Below are 21,089 nucleotides of genomic sequence, written 5' to 3'. Positions count from 1 at the left end.
TACCCCAAGACAAAGGAGAGCAGTGGCACAGAGTATGTATGGTGCAGGTGAAATACTCCACTATTCTTGAGAAATTGAGGCAAAATCAATTATCCTGAGATTCTTCCTAAGAGGCTAGAAGCAGAGCAAGATAAAGGGGTAATCTGAATATGGAGTACCCTTGTCAGAGATGAAAGACTCCACGGGGCAGAGAGTGGTATCCAATATGAGGAGGAAAGAAAATGACAGATCTACTCACAGTGTGTAGAATAGATGAGGAGACATCCCATAGTGCCAAATAGAATAAAAAACCCGCAAAGATGCCAATTCCAGCCAAATCAATCTAGAAATATAACGCAATGCCAGTCGCAATCCTATTCTAAAGCTCATTTGGAAGAATAAATGGGTAAAACTAGTCAACACAATTTTCAAAAGAATAATTGGGGATTTTTCCCTAATAGGTACTAATACACATCATAAAGCAACCTAGAAGGCCCAACTATTTGCCTTATAAAACATGTTTAAACTTCATCCAAATTTATCCCAAAGAAAGTAGACAACTGGAGGGTTTTAGATAGGGGTGTTATGTGGCCAGATCTTTATAAAAGGTAGATGATGTGTAATGCTGGTACAGAGTAAGACCTGCTCACAAGAACAAAACAATGTCTAGGAACACACACACACATATGCACACACACACATATACACACATACGCACAGACATGGTGACATCTCAAAACAATAAGGTTAAATATGGATTATTCAATATTCAATACATTGTATTTCTGATTTAAAAACAATTTGAAATAAATTAGAATCTTAACCTTGTGTTTTTGTATAAATAAATTAATCTTGGGTAGCTTAAAATGTTTAATACAAAAAAGCAATAGAAACAAGAAAAAGAACCACATAGTGGTCATTAGTTTAGGAAATAAGCTGACTCCAGCCCAAGGCAGAGCTAGTTAGCCAATAGGTAGACTAATAAGAGCTCTTCAGACATCCTGGCATCTTGCTGGCAGTGGATGATTAAATAAGAAGGGATGTGATCACAACAATATGCTACAGGAGCTCAATCAAGAAATGATTGTTTTAGTGATACTGCTGCATTCGTCCATGTCACTCAACTGTCAGAATTCATCTATTAATATTATAATAATTTGTAATTGGAAGTTGAACAAAAATTGAAAATTTAACAGAAAAAAAGGAAGCTGAGATTCAGATAAATAAAAATTATCTGTAGGATATATTTTGCATAACCATTACCTTGTAAAAGATAACATTTTCATTCAATTTATTCTTTGAACAAGTATTGATTGAGTATATATGCTGGGCACTGCCCTAGGTGCTGGAGATTTAGCAGTGAACAAACAAAAATCCCTGTCCTCAGATTATATTTTACTTGGAGGACAAACAATAAACATAAATAAGAGGCATAATATGCCGGAGGTGGTATGAAATACTATGGAAAACAATAAGGCATGAAAAGGGAGTAAGAATGCCATCGGGAGAGGGGGTTGTAGTTTTAGAGGAGGTCAGAGGCCTCACTGAGAAGGTGAGGTAGAAGCAAAATTATTTAAGTGAAGGGGGTAAAGGAAACGAGGTAGGTGGATACCAGGGGAGGTGAGGGCAAGTGGGGTGTGGTTGAGAAAACAGGCCAGTGTGGCTGGAGTGCTGTGAGGCCAGGGAGACAGAATAAACGAGGAGACAGAGTATCTGGGGAAGACTGTATGGGGGCCACATATGTAGGTCTCTAGAAAGATTCTGAATTTTACCTAAATTAAACATTATTGGAGGAATCAGAGAACGGAGTGGGCATGTTCTAACCTGTCCTAAGAGGATCACGCTGGCTGCTGTGTGAGGTGAAGATAGAGGTGGGACAAGGGTGGTGGCACAGAGCCTTGCTAGGAGAATGGCGATGGTGGGTTGGACTAGTAGTGAAGTGGATGTAGTGAGACATAGCTGGATTCTGAATGTATATTTTGATGGTGAAGGTTACAGAATTTGCTAAGAAAGGATGGATGAAAGAAAAAGGCAGCAATCAGTGCTGACATCAGGGATTTTGGTCTGAGCAACTGGAAAAATGGAGCTACCAATCTTAGAACTATTGAGGTTGTGATGACTGAGGGTGAAACAGGTTTGGAGAAGGAAAGCAACTAAAAAACAGGTTTGTCACACCAAGAAATGAAATGGGCTAATATATTACTTTACTGTTGCACTAAATGTAAAAGGTAGTAATTTTTCTGTTTATTGGTTTAGTTTCCACCTGAATGATAAACCATAGCTACTGAATCACTTTTTGAACTTTTATTAAAATATGCCTTAAACAACCAAAAAATTTAAACTATTCACAAATATGTAATCAGAAAGGTAATTAGAGTAAGGACTGATTTAAATCATAGTCTCTTACTAAAAATGTCTATAAATTAGCTCTTTCATACTTTGACATTAAAATAATGGCAGCTGGGGCAACTTTGGGAGGAGTTCTTGTAAAGAACAAGTGAGCCACTTGTAGAGGTCGTGCAGTGGATGACCACTTACATCTCTTTAACCTTAAGGCAAGTCTATTCATCACGATGATTTCAGTCACTAAAACACACTGCAATGCCCGCTAAACTATCAAAGAAAGCTGAAGTTACATTCAACACAATATTATGTGTAATATCATAATATCCATTCCTCAACAGTATTGGGTAAGAAAGAATTTACTACCTGTGCAATCTGTACCTGGTACCTGGAACATTTTGGTTGTAAGGATTAACTGAGGGTGATTGATGTATGTACAATCATTTAAAACATTATAAAATGTTACAGAAAGGCAGGTTGTTAATTTACCAAATACAAAGGTAGTTAGATCTTTAAAAATATGAGCCACAAACATGTATGACAAGTTCTTCAAGGCCACACACTATTTGGTGGCTGGTGTTAGAATGTAATTTTTTCTTCCTGCTGCTAGCGAAAGCGTTCAGTCTCACAAAGAAGGCTTTAAGCAGGGCTTTTACTACATCTCAAGCAGGAAAAAAACTTCTGATTTACAAATGTAGGTGCTTCATTTATTATTATATGATATCAAGACATTTCTTCTGCAAAGAGCCAAATATCTTACCCATAAGACAATGAGTTTTTGAGGCTTGTTTTATAATAATTCCACAAATGTTTACATTCAATATAAATATGTTTTGGAAATATGGTAACATGGCAACCCTCATTATATCTGGATTCTTATTTCTTATTCTTGTGTGAGGTCAAATTTCTTAATTTTGTTTTTTTTTATGATTTACATTTTCATGAGAAAATATAATAAATCTAGTTTACAGAATAAATTACACAGAGTATGGCATATTGTATCATAAACACAGAATCTTAATGTCCAAAAGATAATCTTAGATGTTATCTACTCCAACCTTATAGCCAATCTTAATTCATATTTATTTATTTATGCACTCAGATTATGAAGATAATTTCTGATAGCATTACTGCTATATTCCTTAGTGTCATATATGAGTCCTACAATCCCTAGTACCTCAAATTTGCCTAATATCCCATGCTTGAACCTAAGTTATAGTTACTACTATAGAACTTAGTAGAACCTAAGTTACTACTGTATTCCTTAGTCTCATATCTCAGTCTTATATATTAGTCCTACAGAATTAACCAGAATCAAAGACATAGTTCAAAATACAAAATTCACCTTTTGGGTTTTTTGGGTTTTCTTTGGTTTTCTCCTTTGAATCATTTCTCCCATATGCTTAGGGCCTAAGGCACAATAATCTAATTCTGGCATCAGAAAGCACTGCAAACTCACTTACCCTTAAGTCCGAGTTTATATTTTCAACGAAAAGGAGGTACCTGAAAGAAGATTATTTAGATTCTACCCTATGTGTCCCCTCTACCACAACCAAAAATAAACACCCTTATCAACCATTAATCATATTAGGGGAGAACTTAAGTTTCCCCCACTCCCATTCCATATACATAAATGTTCCAACAACTTATTGGGTTTAAAAAATATGTCATTTTCTCTGTCTTGGTTAGTAGAGTCCTGAACATATTTAGATAGGGTTTTAATCTCACTTTAAATCTAATACAATCACATTTACCACAGACCTTGATTTTATACATAGGACCAATTATCAGAGTGCTAGGAGAAACAGTAGCAAGAAAAACCAGTTTCTTCTCCTTCCCAAGCTAGTTTGTCTTTTTTAGTTTCTAATATTGTTAAATTTGAGTAACATAATGGTATATAACTAAATAAACACATAGGTAAATATAAAAGCAATTTACGTTTTCGCCTCTTAGTCGCCATCTTGTCATGTAGATGAATTCCATAGTATGATCCTTCCCCATAATTTCACCATTGCACAGCACATCCAACTTTAAAAAGAATCATTATAGATCTATTAACATAATGTTGAATTCAAAAGTATTTTGCATATTTTTTGAAATTTCAAAAAATATTCAAATAGTTGGAACAAAAGTATTATCCATTATTTTAAATAGGAGGCATTTATTCTCCTAAAGCATTAACAATTTGGATATGTTACTTATATACTGTTACTATGCTGTATACTATATACAAGATACTGTTTATCTTGTCCCATATACCTGTATCTCAAGTTCATACACATAATTTACAAATGCAATGTAACCTTTCTTAGTCCAAATCTCTGTCATGTCTCTTAGAGGTTTAAGGCATAGTTCTGTGACTGCCCCTTTCTGAACAAGAACCTGCAGAAACCTCACAGTTCCTCTCAGCTCCTTTGGCTTCTCAATTCCTCTCTCAGAATTCTTTCACCTTCCTGAGATTTGAAGGGGTTACTATCTTCTTATTAGTTTGGGGTTGAAGAGGGAAATTAATGAATGTGGATACAGTGATTTATGGGGCCTTAAAGGTATATGAGAATTTTCAGTAATTACCAATATCTAATTTGATACAAAAGTTACGACTATGCCACAGGTCTGTGTCTCTTAGGGCTGTCTGGCTTCTCTGGTTTGCCTGGTCAGTGATTTGCACAATACTTACAGGATCCTCTTCCCACTTTGCACAAAGCTTCAAAAAAGCATACTTATCAGCGTTAAGTTTTGCTCGAAGTTGCAAGAACCGAACAACCCCTAAATCTTTAAGAAGGCTACAGGAACTGTGGCTATAATTCACTAATTCAAGAAAGCATAATTAAGCAAATGTTTATCATCGATCCCTACAAATAATATAACATTTTAGTTCTCTAGCTATTAAAAACAAACTGGAAAGATTTCATTTGAAGTGTGGGAGGGGAAGAAGAATGAGTTTTAAATAATTCTGCATCTGGCTAGACAGAGACTACAGTTTTGAACTTTAAGATGAGTATAGTTTCAGTTAATTGTATTAGACATGTGAAGCAAAATTATTGATTTTTTGATGATTTATGATGACTTATACGGACCTCAAAATGTTTTTCAGGCATCATTTTATTAACTTTTGAAAGAATAAAGGAGATAATTTCATTTTTATCTTTTTTGTAAATTAATTCATAAGCAAAGTAAAGGGTCTCACTTAGGATGCATTTTGCTAATCAGGTATATTGCATCTGTTAATGTCGTTTAACAACTAAACTATCTTGCCCCAGTTAGCAATGCTGTTACAAAAGCTTCAGCTGTCAGGTATTTCATTAAATAATCCCCCTGCATACTAGGCAGCAAAATAAGGGGGGAACTGAAAAAGATTCCCAAAAGTCACAGGAAAAGTCCTTTGCATTGGGATACATAAGGAGGTGTCAGCGTACTGAATCTCTCCCCCTTCCATCTTTGTTTATAGCGAAATATATACATGCCAGAAGTAAGACTATGTAAGAGTAACAGTTCTCTTAGTAATAACAGCTTTCTAAAAATTAGAAAATGTTAACTCAATGAATCAGACTTAAAAGGAAATAAAACCATACATGGTATTTTGCGTGAAGAAAATAAAGTGCAAACCAAATCATAAGAACAATTTATTGTCTATTTTTCACTGTAGTTGTATCCATACATTGTTACTATCATTTATTTTTACCAAGTACATTGGGCTTTATAGTTAACTTCCATAATTTTTTCCTAATACAAACGTTGATGTCTCTAGAATTTTAAAAAATATTTGTAGAACCATACCATAATAACAATTTTCAACCCATAGACTAGTCATCTGAGAGAAATTTTCAAATAAGCTCAGGATCAGCGGCTTCCTCAAAACATGGACATAATACCTATCAATGTCTATCACATTTTATGTCTCCTATGATGACTCTTCATGATATTCATATTACTGCAGATAAGCCAGAAAAACTATGCTGCCTTTTCTTTGATGTCTTTGTTTATATAGGAAACTAGTCCTGGTCTTTAATTTTCTTTTCTTTTCTTTTTTTGAGATGGAGTCTCACTCTGTCGCCCAGGCTGGAGTGCAGTGGCGTGATCTCGGGTCACTGCAACCTCCGCCTCCCAGGTTCACCTAAGTGACTCTTGCCTTGTCCTCCTGAGTAGCTGAGAATACAGGCACCTGCCACCACACCCGGCTAATTTTTATATTTTTAGAACACACAGGGTTTTACCATGTTGGCCAGGTTGGTCTCAAACTCCTGACCTTGAGTGACCCCACTAGCCTCCGCCTCCCCAAGTGCTGGGATTACAGGCATAAGCCACCACGCCTGGCCTGGTCTTTAATTTTCTAGATGCTACTATCAGAACTCGAAAGGGAAGAAGGGGAAATTAATGAGTTGAAAGATCATCATTTAGGCAGGTGAGAAATGATATTTCCTTACTATGTTTTAGTTATAACTCTAGGATTAAAAACATTCTCTAAACATGGAACACATGAAAAGCTATGCTGTGATTAATATCAGGGCAGTTTACCTCTTCTGTAAATAAACTGGTAAATTACATTTATGCAGCTATAATATGTTGGTTATATCTACTGCTAAACAAAACCACTTCTGCATTTCACGGAAATGTGATTACTTATGAAATTCCTTGTGATAAAAAGACAATGTTTTACATTCTGAAGAAGTCTATAAAGAATTGGTAATAATGGATCTCAAAGATCTCAGATAAAAAATGACATGCCCTAAGGCATGAATACATTTAGCTGGTATATTTATTTTGGGAGTACTTAATGTTAAGTTCTTTAAATATCTCCTCTAATTATAAAACACTAAATGTATTAGTATCATAGTTTATTCAGGATATGTTCAATTAGAGTACACATATTACCTAAGTAGAATAATACATTCTGAAAATTAAATTTTTAACACAAAAATAATCAAAGTTTCCACAAAAATTAATTTGAATATATTCTCAGTTTTCACTTTTGTTAGAATTTTACTTCAAATCAGAATTATCAAAATGATCAAGCTTAGATATTATTTAACTTACCTCATAAGAACTTGGAAGTTTTAGTTTTAAACTTAGAAATTTTTTAATAGTTCCCACAGTTACACGTGTAGAACATCGAATGAATTTCTTCATTAAACCCTAAAGGAAATAAAGATTACCAGTTAAAATGTTCTACCAGTTAAAATGTTCTATCTTGCTTCTGGTGAAACCATAGCTACCAGTTTCACTATCATTTTGAGTATTTTTAAAATGTATTGTGAAAACATTTCAATTTATAGCTTTTTAGTATTTGCGAGTAAAAATATTCCTAATTATTGGATACTTACATGACATTCTTCAAGAATATATTATCATGTGTACTAGGAAAATCCTGGCAAATAGGCAATCTGCTTACCTCTAGACATTTTAGTAAAGAAAACATGAGCTTAAAAAGAAAAAAAGGTCACAAAAAGCATAAAAATATATATATTTTTTATTATTTAAGCTTTTATTATTATTATTATTATTATGCTTTAAGTTTTAGGGTACATGTGCACAACGTGCAGGTTTGTTACATATGTATACATGTGCCATGTTGGTGTGCTGCACCCATTAACTGGTCATTTAGCATTAGGTATATCTCCTACTGCTATCCCTCCCCCCTCCCCCACCCCACAACAGTCCCCAGAGTGTGATGTTCCCCTTCCTGTGTCCATGTGTTCTCATTGTTCAATTCCCACCTATGAGTGAGAACATGCGGTGTTTGGTTTTTTGTCCTTGTGATAGTTTGCTGAGAATGATGGTTTCCAGCTTCATCCATGTCCCTACAAAGGACACGAACACATCATTTTTTATGGCTGCATAGTATTCCATGGTGTATATGTGCCACATTTTCTTAATCCAGTTTATCGTTGTTGGACATTTGGGTTGGTTCCAAGTCTTTGCTATTGTGAATAGTGCCACAATAAACATATGTGTGCATGTGTCTTTATAGCAGCATGATTTATAATCCTTTGGGTATATACCCAGTAATGGGATGGCTGGGTCAAATGGTATTTCTAGTTCTAGATCCCTGAAGAATCGCCACATCGACTTCCACAATGGTTGAACTAGTTTACAGTCCCACCAACGGTGTAAAAGTGTTCCTATTTCTTCACATCCTCTCCAGCACCTGTTGTTTCCTGACTTTTTAATGATGGCCATTCTAACTGGTGTGAGATGGTATCTCATTGTGGTTTGATTTGCATTTCTCTGATGGCCAGTGACGATGAGCATTTTTTCACATGTCTGTTGGCTGCATATATGTCTTCTTTTGAGAAGTGTCTGTTCATACCCTTTGCCCACTTTTTGATGGGGTTGTTTTTTCTTGTAAATTTGTTGGAGTTCATTGCAGATTCTGGATATTAGCCCTTTGTCAGATGAGTAGGTTGCAAAAATTTTCTCCCATTCTGTAGGTTGCCTGTTCACTCTGATGGTAGTTTCTTTTGCTGTGCAGAAGCTCTTTAGTTTAATTAGATCCCATTTGTCAATTTTGGCTTTTGTTACCATTGCTTTTGGTGTTTTAGACATGAAGTCCTTGCCCATGCCTATGTCCTGAATGGTATTGCCTAGGTTTTCTTCTAGGGTTTTTATGGTTTTAGGTCTAACATGTAAGTCTTTAATCCATCTTAATTTTTGTATAAGGTGTAAGGAAGGGATCCAGTTTCAGCTTTCTACATATGGCTAGCCAGTTTTCCCAGCACCATTTATTAAATAGGAAATCCTTTCCCCATTTCTTGTTTTTGTCAGGTTTGTCAAAGATCAGATAGTTGTAGATATGCGGCATTATTTCTGAGGGCTCTGTTCTGTTCCATTGGTCTATATCCCTGTTTTGGTACCAGTACCATGCTGTTTTGGTTACTGTAGCCTTGTAGAATACTTTGAAGTCAGGTAGCGTGATGCCTCCAGCTTTGTTCTTTTGGCTTAGGATTGACTTGGCAATGCGGGCTCTTTTTTGGTTCCATATGAACTTTAGTTTTTTCCAATTCTGTGAAGATTATAAAGTATAACTTCTGAAACATGAGGGACATTTTCTAAAACATGGTATCACAGCTTTTAAATAATTTCAGAAAGAGCAGTGATGTCAAATGGGACCCTGAGGAGCCATAGGGTTCAACAGAGAGAGGCTGGTTAGGCCACAGCATGCCCCAGAAATTAGAAGTTGCATAGTGTGGACCTTGTGTTGGGGAGAATAGTGTCTGATAGGCTGTGCCAGTACTTTACTGGAAGAACAAACTTCTCTGTGCCTGATGTGTCTCATTTGTAAAATGTGCAGAGCAGTACTAATTCACTCTTTAAGCTTGACTATCACTAAAATATAAGAACCAATCCAGAAGGGACACCCAAGCTGAAAATGAAGTAAAATGAGGTTGTAGACATAATAAACACGAACCAATATGTGAAACAAAATTACATTCCACAACCTCAAAAGTTATCAGAATACTAAAACACACAAAACAACAATAGAATCTTTTAAAGATATTACTCCTATTTGTATGTATAGGAAATGAGGTCAGCATCACTAAGTCACAACTGTTCAGTCAATGTTTATTTCCTAGCAAATGTTTTCCTAGCAAAACATATTTCCTGGCAAAGACCAACAGAAATAAATTAACAAATAACAACCTGGTCACAATACAGATGATAAAATATCCATTAAAAGAAAACAGAAGTTAAAAGTTACATCTAAATCAACACATATTCTACCCATTTCAAATGTGAAGACGGATATTCTAGACAGCATGAAAACAAAGGGATAAATGTACACGTCTATCTTCTCTGTTATCTGTTCACCTTCTCAACTATCCCAAGGTTTCCTGTCAATTTTCTTCTTGCCCCAAACAGCTTACAAAGAATCATTAGCACATTTTTACAAGCCCCAGTTAAGTCAGAGAAGAATATAAGGGTGTAGGTTGATCATCCCCAGTCTGAAATCTGAAATGTCCCAAAATCTGAAACTGAGGGCTGACATGACACTCATTCATTTCAGATTTGGGAGGTTCAACTGTAAGTATATACAATGCCAATATTCCAAAACCCAAAAAACTTCTGGTCCCAACCATTTTGGATAAGGGATACTCAACCTGTACTGGAAGACTCTTAATTTGTGTATTTTTCATCTGTCAAGAAATTAGGAAGAATCTCCAGAAATGATGTTTGTATCACTACTTACAATCTTTCACAGATTAATTATAGTTTTTATACTATTCGCAAAGTTGTACAACCATTACTATGATCTAATTCCAAAACATTTTCATCATCCTCAAAAGTAACCCAAATCTATTCACAGTCACTCCGCAACCTTCCCTCCTCCCATCCCCTGACAACCCTAATCTACTTTGTCTTTATCCTTGTCTGGATATTTCGTATAAATGGAATCACATAATATGTGACCTTTTGTGTCTGGCTTCTTGCACTTAGCATAAAGTTTTCAAGATTCATCTATTTTGTAGCATGTATCAGTACTTCATTGCAGTTTATGACTGAATAGTATCACATTTCCTTTCATTCTGCTTTTCCATTCATCAGCTGATAGACATTTGGGTTGTTTTCACTTTCTGGCTATTACAAATAATGCTATTATGAATATACATATACAAGATTTTGTGTGAACATGTTTTCAATTCTTTTATACAGTAGTCCCTCCTTATCTGCAGTTTCACTTTCCTTGATTTCAGTTACCCAGTCAATATATCACTGTCCAAAAATACAAAATGGAAAATTCTAGAAATAAACAATTCATAAGTTTTAAGCTGCATACAATTCTGCATAGCATGTTAAAATCTTGCACCATCCTACTCCGTCCTGCCCAGGTTGTGAATCCTCCCTTTGTCCAGCATATTCATGCTGTATAGGCCACCTGTCCATTAGTGACTTAGCTATCTCAGTTATCAAATTAAAAAAACCAGTATATACAGGATTATTTGGTACTATCTGTGGTTGCAACATCCCCTGGGGGTCTTGGAACATATGCTCCACAGATAAGGGGGGGACTACTGGATATGATCACATACTTAGAAGTGGAATTACCACGTCAACTCTTTGAGGAACTGCTAAAGTGTTTTCCACAGTAGCTGCACTTTCACCTTCCCACTAGCAACGTATAAGGTTTCAATTTGTCCACATTCTCTAACATTTATTATTTTCCTTAAAAAAAATTTCTGGCCATCCTAGTAGGTATAAAATGATATCTCATTGTGGTTTTGATTTGCAGAGCCCCAGTGACTAGTGATATTTAGCAACTTTTCCTGTGCTTATTGGTCATTTTTATAACTTCTTTAGAGGAATGTTTATTCAAGCCTTTTGCCTTTTTCCAAATTGGGCCATCTTTTTATTGTTGATTTATAAGAGTTCTTCATATACCTGTACATTAAAGGCTTATCAGACATGATTTGCAAATATTTTTTCCCGTTCTGTAACTTTTTTCACTTTAAGTGTCCTTTGATACACAAGAGTTTTACATTTTAATGAAGTTTTACATTTACAATTTATCTATTTCTTTTCTTTTGTTGCTTGTGCTTTTGGTGTCATTTCTAAGAATCCACTGCCAAATCCAAGGTCATGGGAATATCTTAATTTCTCCTTCCTTTTGGAAGGCTATAGATTTTTGATGAATATAGACTTAACTAGTTGACAGTTTTCTTTCTTTGAGCACTCTGCATATATTATCCTATTGCCTTCTATCCTCCACAGCTTTTGGTGAGAAATCAGCTACTAACCCTACTGGGGGTCCTTTGTGCATGAGTCACTTTTATATTGTTGCTTTCAAGATTCTCTCTTTGTCTTTGAATAGTTTGATTATGATGTGCCTAGGTATGAATTTCTTTGAATTTATCATACCTGAAGATTGTTAAGCTTCTCAAATGTTTAATATTTTTCATCAAATTTGGTTGGTTTTTAGGGGCCATTATTTCTTCAAATATACTTTCTGTCCTTTTTTCTCCATTTCCTCTCCTTCTGGAACTTCCATTATGTGTATGCTGGTAAGCTTGATGGTGTCTACAGCTCTCTGAGGACCTGTTCATTTTTCTTCATTCTATTTTTCTGTTTCTCAGACTGAATAATCTCAATTCATTTAACTTCAATTTTACAGGTTCTTTTTCTTTGGCTCAAGTCTGCTGTTGAGCCTCACCAGTAAAATTTTCATTTCTGTTGCTATACTTTTCAACTCCAGAATATTAAAAGACATTTAATATTCTGTATTTGGTGAGATCATTCTTGTATTTTCATATAGTGCCCAGACCATGGTTTTAGTTCTTTGTGCATATTTAAATAGATAATTTCAAATCTATGCCTAATAAGTACAATGTCTGGGCTTCCTCAGCGACAGTTTCTATTGACTGCTTCTTTTCCTGTGTATGGGTCAAACAATCAGCTCTCTGTAACTGCAGTCCTGCATTTGTGAATTCAAGCAATCACAGATCAAAAATATTTTTAAAAACAATAAAAATAACAATAATAAAAATAATATAGTATTAACAACTACTTACATAGCATTTGCATTGTATTAGGTATTACAAGTAATCTAGAGATGATTTAAAGTATATAGCAGGTTGTGCATACGTTACGTGCAAATACTACACCATTTTATATAAGGGACATGGGATCCACAGATTTTCTTATCCATGAAGGGTCCTGGAATGAATCCCCAACATATACTGAGGGACCACTGTATTTGTTAGTATCTCCCATATTTTGTTGTTGTTGTTGTTGAAACTAGACATTTTAAATAATATAATGTTGCAATACTGGAAATCAGATTCCTGCCTGCTCTTCAGTCCTAAACTAATTCCATAAAGTCTGTATTCTTTACCATATGTAGTCATGAAAGTTTCTGCCTAGAGGTCAGCTAATAATGGAACAGAGATTTCTTTACACATCTGGAGCCATTAAGTTGCTCAGTCTTTGCCAAGAATCTGGGTATGTGTTTGGGGGCATACCACCAATATTCAACTAAGGTGTTGACAACTCTGCCTTAGTCTTCACTTCCTACTCGTGCAGACCACCTCAAGGTGAGGCAGAGGTGAGAGCTTAGGGCCTTCTCAGGTCCTTCCTGAACATGCATACAACTCTACATATGCACGTGGCCCTCTAGATTTCAAGGAATATGTCACAGCCTTTTGAAGCTCCTAGGGACATCTCACTCTCCAGCTTTTCCATTTAAGCTTTTTGGTTAGTCTCTTGTTTGCTCCAAATGTTATCTATACCTCAGGCAGTTGTAAAGTTGAAACATTTGCCTGTAATTGTTTTTGACAAATGCCCCTTTCCCCCACCCACAGAGAAGGCTTTTTCCATGGGGGCAAGCTCCAAGTCAAGTCGAATACTGACAATCTTGTAAGTGGGGTCTCCGAGGAAACAACCAGACAAGTCAAATAATGACCATTCTTTGGCAATGAGGCTTTGAAAAAGCTCTACCTCTGTTCTTTCCCTTTGGTCCCTGAGAGGCTGCAATGGGAAAGCAGGCTGTTATTTTCAAGGCTACTGCAGAATTTGAGCAGGGGCTGGAACTAAAGCAAGTTAAAATGCCACAAAGCTCACCCTTTATACTGATAGTTAGTCATCTTCTTGATAAAATGCTCTATATGCATCTATAAGCCTTTGTTTAATATCAGATCTCTGAAAAAGCTGACACTGAACATTTTTGCCAGTATTTTTATACTTTCATGGAAAAGTGAATTTTCAGAGATACTTACTCTACTCTTTTTATTGACATCCCACTCTTGACTTTGACTTCTGTATTATAAAAGCAGTAGATATTCTGTATAAACTATACATGCAACTACTGCCCCACCACATTTGTGAATCACATCCTACTGCAGAGGAATGAGATGGCTGAGAAGGCTATAAAGCAATACAGACATTGTGTCTCTGCCACTAAGGGATTTACAGTCTAGTATCAAGGACAACACACATATAAAAAAAAGATAGTATCAGTGCCTAGAACTCTTAGGCACATCCTTAATAGATAACAAACTAATCCCTAATTGACAGATAAATATAAGTACTACAGAATTTCAGAAAAGGGATTCACTAGGTTGGGAAAAGCGTCACAAAAAATAAAAATCTCTGGGTCTTGACAGAAGCATAGGATGGTGGAAGAGGAAAGAACACGCCAAAAAGGAAGGGTTGTTCAAAGTTTTAGAGGTCTTAAGTATTCATAACACAAGCTTTTATATAATCTAGATACAGATCTTTTGTCAGATATATGGTTTCCAACACACACACACACACACACACACACACGAGGTGGAGGGGAAGAGACAGAGAGAGAGAACGAACACATACATAAAGGAATAATCACTTGTTTTGAAAGGACGATTTACTAATGGGTTTAATGGGAGATAAACTTATTAAAAGAGGTGCTTGTTAGGGAAGGGCCTTGAATACTAATGTAAGGAGTTATGACTTAATTGTACAGGCCAAAAGGTGGCAAACTTTTGGCCTGTACAATGACCATGTCCTCAGGCCAAATCTGGCTGGCCATCAATTTCTGTAAGTAATGTTTTATTGAAACACAACCAAGCCCATTCATTTACTATTGTCTGTGCTGCTTTAGTGCTATAATGAATAAGTTGAGTAAATTGCAACAGAGACCATATGGCCTACAGAGCCTAAAATACTTACCATCTGACCCTGAGATTGGTCATGGCCCTCACTCTGGGCCTTACACACACTCAGGCAAGTGGCCCTAGCCCTGGATAACAAAAGAAAAATTAAGGGTACAGAAAACACTTAATAACTACTTAAAAAATGTAGATATAAGGGTGAGCAGCACTAAACTGGGGGAATTTTGCAGGACTTAGTGACTGGTTGAAAGAAAAGAGTAACAGATCAAAGATGACGCGAAGCTTTTGAACTTATTTGATTGGCTGAAAGACAGCAGTCATAACTAAAACTGCATGTTTGGACCAAAGTTAGATGAAAGTATAATGAATTAGACAACTTAGACAAGTCAAGTTTCCGGTGTTAGTGAAACTCTCAACTGGTCTATTTAAAAATAGAGACATAACACTTCAGCTTGGGAAACAAAGCAGGGCTGGAAATGAGGACTTAAAAGTCCTTTGCATAAAGAAGAGAACAACAGACATGAGGCCCTACTTGAAGGTGGAATGGTAGGGGGCGAGACAGGATTGAAAAACTACCTATTGACTATTATGCCTATTACCTGGGTGACAAAATAACCTTACGCCAAACCTGTGACACACAATTTACTTATGTAAGAAACCTGCACATGTCCTCCTGAACCTAAAATAAAAGTTAAAAAATCCTTTGCGTAGTTGAAGCCACACAGAAAATGGAGAAGATCTCCTAAAATAGATACAGAGAAAGTATTAGGACATACTTACATATATCAAGTAGAAGGCAAGAAGTAGAGGCAGTGGAGACAAAGCAGGAATGCCACAGGAAAAAAAGGAAGAATCAGGGTAGCTTAGTAAAAGTCATTTATAAACTAAGAATGAAGGTACAAGGATGAAGAAAAGTCCATAAAGGAAAAAGTGAATGGATAAAAGGTCAACTAGAATAGCAAAGTGTCAAAGATGTCAAAAAGGAGAACAACAAGCAGGGGTGGTTAATTTTTCAAATAAATTTCTAAAATTCAATCTTTTATACTTTCATATGAGAAATCATGCAGAGAAGTGGACTTTACGTTTGTTTATGAGAAGATATTCAGCCTTTCCATTGATTTAACTTTCAGTATGAGCTAACTCATGTATTGGAGAGCTAAAGGATGACCATGAACTCTATGAAAAAGAACTTCCCAAAAAGGGGGATGACTTTTGGGAAAGACCATAAGAAACAACTGAAAATACTGTAAGGATAAATAGGTACAGTGGTCATTTCTCTAAAGATAGATGCACTTTATTACATGCCCTGTCCAATAAATTCCCCTTAACAAAATCAATTACCTTAACTATTTGTATGTATAAGACCTAACCAAGTTCCTTGAGTGAAAGATGTTTTTTCTTACTACTTACATCTTCACTGTCTACTGTTCACATAGTGGATAAATATTCACTGAATTACTGTGCTCATATATGTTGTTATAAGATGCCAGGAAAACTTAATCTGAAGTGAAAAATTGTTTTTCACTTCCTAATAGGAAAATGCCATTAAACGTATTAGTAAAAAATTCAACCCACTAGCCTATAGATGTACACAGAGGAAGTAAAAGAAAATTAGAGACAATGAATATAGGCATTTGAATAAAACACAGAATACAGAGAGATAAACAATATTCTCAGTGGCTGACATTTGCTAGGATAAAGTGACAAAAATCTAACAGCTGAAGTAGTGAAGATTTGTAATAAAAATAAAAGCTGCTTGTAATAAAAAGGTAGAAAACATTATTAAAGTAACACCATTTAAAGACCAAAGAAAATCTATAAAAGCAGAGTGTTTTAAACTTCCTATAAAGATCCTCTAAGGAAAGATTCAATTAGCAGAGGCAGAGGAAAACAGTACCAGAAATGGAGATTCTATAGGAAATAACTGAGGGCCTTCAAGGAGTTTAAAAGTTCAGAGGCATTTTACAACATCTAATTTTACTTCAAAACTAATTGATTAAATTATTCACAAAATATGTTAGCTCTGACATGGAAATCTTGTTGAGTTGCAAATAAAAATAGAGAAATAAAGGATAAAATTAGAAGAGAATGAATAAAAGGGCTAGAACTACCAGTGACATGAAATTCTCTAAGTCTAAGTTGGTCACCACTCTAAAAAACAGAAACCATGCATATGAATTTCCAGCAAAGGTATAAAAGGAGAAACAGAGGTGTGATTCTGGGCATTAGCCACTAGATGGTGGCATTGGCCCAAGACAGTTCAGTTGTGGGAATAGTAACCATTTCTAAGCATAGGATTGTCAAAGAATGGCATTTTATTTAATTATGTTAATTAAAACTTTGAAAGCAAACATTTTGAAGCATTAGAAAATTTGTCAACAAATTATCAAGGGTTTACTATAAACTGATCATAAAAATACCATAGTACTTGTTCACTCACCTTTACTACATTGTCCCCTGATTGCCCATTATTTCGTAAACAATCTAGACAGATAGCAATTTGTGGGTCACTTCTGTGATAATCTTTATCATCTTCATTTTCATCACCTTCTTCATCTACTTTCGGTTTGTCAGCTTTTGAAGTATCATCTGTATAATTTAAACAAAACTAAGTTAGCTATAAATCAAAGTTGATTTTAAAGTTAAGCAATCATACATTGATAATCAAAACAAAAATCAACTTTAAAAAATTTCCTAACAGTTTTTGAAGAAGAACTTAGTATCTTTAAAATGTTCCAACCAACTCAGCAATGGAAATATTTTGTAAAAAAAAAAAAAAAAAATTGGAAACTTATTAACATAGCTTAAGATTTCTAGGCTCATTGGGACATCCAAATGAAAGATTCAGGACTAGCTGTATTTAGCCAAAAAAATGATTACAATTAGTAATTAGACTATGTTAGAAAGTGGACAGAATATATAAAAATACTTCCAAATTATTTATAGGTGTATATATAAATTATACTCGTTTATAAATAAGTATATATTCAAATTAAAACCAAATACTTTTCAAATGATAAAATTAAGTTCTCAAAATTTCAAATTACTATTCATAAAATCAGCCAGTGAAAAAAAACGAGTATAATGAATTAGCTTTTTAACATGTATATAGCTATTAATACATAACATGTTACAACTCCATTAAAGATATCTCAATGGCATACTTTATATTATATACAAATGTATTTCACCTATTACAAACCTGTAGCCTATAAATAATGCAGCTATATTTATCATTCATCTGTTGAGTAGTTCTAACTATATGTTGGATACACATCATACAAGGCCTGAGGGAACAATACTGAAACTAGAGCTATCATCCTCTCTCTCACAGTGGTCAGGGTATGGAATCAAATAAAGGCAAGCTAAAAAAAAAAAAAAAAGAAAAAACCAGACAAATACAGGATGTGAGAGGTAAAATGGACTATGCATGCACATATAAAAGAGACAATAAACCCAAACTTTGGGAGTGAAGCAGGGACGATTTCCAGATGAGATACCTCTAAGCTAACACTTGAAAAAATCAGCCAGCTAAACATTACTTGTAGAAAAGCTTCCCTGCAAAGTGACTGGCCAGATCCTTTTTGATGACTGTAGTAAAAGCACTACAGGTATACCATAGAGCGGGGAGGTGGGTTCTCTTTTTTCTACATGTTTTCTTCTCCTTATTTATAGAGAATATACATAGATAGGAGTTGCCTTCTATGAACCAAACTCCTAGCTCCAACAAAAAATCTGAATTCTCCACCCAAGCTAAAGACCAAATACCAGAAATACTTTAAAATGGGAGAAACAATAGGAAAAGGGAGATAAAATTCACAAAGTAGGCTACAGCCCTTCACAAGTTAAACTGTGATACGTAGAACCATAGAGTAAACCTACCACGTAACTTCTGATGACAATCCCTCAGGCTCCTGTCCTCTTGAATAGGCAGTCAAAAACTGGAATATTTAATTAGCCTTATCTTATCTGTATTTTTACTAGAGCACTACTACTATAATTGGTTGTTATTGTTTAATTGCAGTGTACACGTGGGTAAAACAAGCCCTAGTTATTTTTTTGGCCAGGCTTAGCTTCTTTGCCATTTTTTTGTTGTTGTTGTTACAGATAAAAAATAGTCTCTTGTTACCTTATTCTAGCATCAAAACTATTCTCAAACTTCCCCTGCTCTAACAGCCTTGCACAGTTAAGTTGAACGAATAAAATGATAATCTCCATTTTACAGATTAAAAAAGGGAGATCTCATCCACCTTAATCATGTATAATTGACAATCCTATGATCTTATGGGAAAACCAAGATTGGGAGGCTGAACTTACAAGTGACCCTATAAGAACACACACACATTCTTGAATAACTTTAAATGATATTTAGGACATCCTAAATTAAATCTCATATTTAAAAAAATGGGAGCGATACTAGTTTCTTATAATTTTAATATCCCTTTGTGTAGATTTTATACATATATATATATATATATATATATATATATATATATATATATATATATACACTAAAAGCCTTTTATCTGCTCAGTAATGTTTGCCCCTTTGCTGAAATTATTATTAAAAATTACTAATTGCTGAGTCTTTTGGGACCCAGAGGAGAAATCTGGGTGATGGAGAAAATTCCCATAAGCACCCAGAAATACTTTCTAAATTTCCATGATGTATAAGTTTGTATCACCTGAGCTCTACTTATAAAAACTTCATTCCAGAATATCAGAGCATAGTAAAATCTCCTGATCTGGCTCTCAGCCACATCTCAGCTCCCTCTCCTTTAGAGGCAAACATACAAAATAAAACAAAAAACTCTTCACTGTTTAGTTGCAAGCTGTGGCTATTTCTTACTTCAGCTTCCTTTAGCTCCCTAGAAATTACCACTATAAACACCTAGCCAATCTTCTCTTTTATCTCCCTTTTCTCTTCCCAAAGTCCAATTTCCTCTATTTCCAATTACCCTCACTAAAGTGACTTCAGATTTACACTCATTTATATAAAATCTCATATAGAGAAAAAGGTTCGTAATGTAAATAAAAGGGTGCATGAATTTTGTGCAGGAAAAATGTGAGCCTGAAGAGACATATTAGTTCACCTAAACTATGAAAAGCTGACCAGTTTAAGAGGTGCTGTCAGAAACAGACATAAGAAAAAGTCACCTTGTCCATTTTCTTGAGGCTTATTTTTCTTCCAAAATTCAGATTCACGCTCAAGTTCTTCTAATTTAAAAGAAAGAGTATAAAAGTAAAAGTCATGAAATCTTTAATAGAAGTGTTGATTTCATAAAACACAAAAGTCTGCAAGAACCTAAAGAGCCACTTACGTTCTCGTAGTCCAGGGACCAGCTTAAATATAATTTCCTCTAATGTATTGTCCAACCTTCGAAAGGGGGGAGAAAGAAAATACTAACAATGAAGACACCAAGATCTGACATGTAAATAGTCTGAGATGTATAATCTTATACATGTTACAAAATACATACACAATTTTAGCACATCTACTATACCATACTCTTCTGTCCATGGAACACACTTATTTACAGCCTTCCCCAGTAGTAGACTGATAACAAAAATGGTCCCAGTCCCCAGCTCTCTCTATATCCAGACTCTTGAGCATGACTTTGAAACTCCTCCCTTGACTAAGGATGGAGTTTATTCCCCTGCCTTGGAAATACGGTCTGGCTTTAAAACTTGTTGAGGCCAGCAGAATGTGGCACAAGTGACTGCTTGGTTCTAAGCCTAAGCCTTAAGAGGCATCAAATGCTTTTGTCTCTATTTCTCTCTCTCAGAATCCTGCTACCATGAGAACAAGGCTGGAGGATGAGAGACCACGTAGAAGAGAGCCAAGCTGCCCTGCTAAGGCCATTTTAGACTAGTCCACAGACAGCCCATCCCCCAAGATCAGCACAGCAGATTACCCAATGCACAGCTAACTGCAGTTGCATGAGTGAGCCCAGCCAAGACCAGATGAACCACCCAGCTAACTCAGGGAACCAGGAGGAATAATAAATGCTTGCTTTTTCAAGCATCAATTTAGGGGTTGTCTGTTATGCAGCAACAGCTGATATGCCCATTCTCAAAATCTCTACCACAGCTCTGGCTCTTTCCTCTAAAGGAAATAATCTCCATTCCTCTCTTCTGAGAAATTTAGACCACTTTATTGTTCTACCTTCTGAAATGAAAACTTTAAATG

General features: G+C 35.4%; 1 protein-coding gene across 16 annotated transcripts in view, besides 1 other annotated feature; it reads right to left on the bottom strand.

The window, feature by feature from the left end:
• The window catches only part of PCGF5 (polycomb group ring finger 5), a 128,119-nt gene that overhangs the window by 15,557 nt on the left and 91,473 nt on the right, over nt 1–21,089 (bottom strand). For all 16 annotated transcript variants that reach the window (XM_017016776.3, XM_017016777.3, NM_001257101.2 and 13 more), the window contains 5 exons: nt 20,221–20,276; nt 20,057–20,116; nt 17,341–17,489; nt 7,357–7,455; nt 4,261–4,350 (listed from right to left, as the gene is read on the bottom strand). In XM_017016776.3, coding sequence (XP_016872265.1) covers nt 4,261–4,350; nt 7,357–7,455; nt 17,341–17,489; nt 20,057–20,116; nt 20,221–20,276 — 454 coding nt within the window. The remainder of the gene's footprint in view (nt 1–4,260; nt 4,351–7,356; nt 7,456–17,340; nt 17,490–20,056; nt 20,117–20,220; nt 20,277–21,089) is intronic.
• Nucleotides 20,770–20,952: a silencer, noted in NCBI's record as "fragment chr10:93007586-93007768 (GRCh37/hg19 assembly coordinates)". NCBI's record gives its function as "represses an EF-1alpha promoter that drives an FKBP-Casp9 reporter gene in an ReSE screen in HepG2 liver carcinoma cells {active_cell/tissue: HepG2}" and the evidence as "EXISTENCE:reporter gene assay evidence [ECO:0000049][PMID:32094911]".

Source organism: Homo sapiens, chromosome 10 (assembly GCF_000001405.40).
Source record: "Homo sapiens chromosome 10, GRCh38.p14 Primary Assembly".
Taxonomy (NCBI): Eukaryota; Metazoa; Chordata; class Mammalia; order Primates; family Hominidae; genus Homo; species Homo sapiens.
This window is presented reverse-complemented; position numbering and strand designations above follow the sequence as displayed.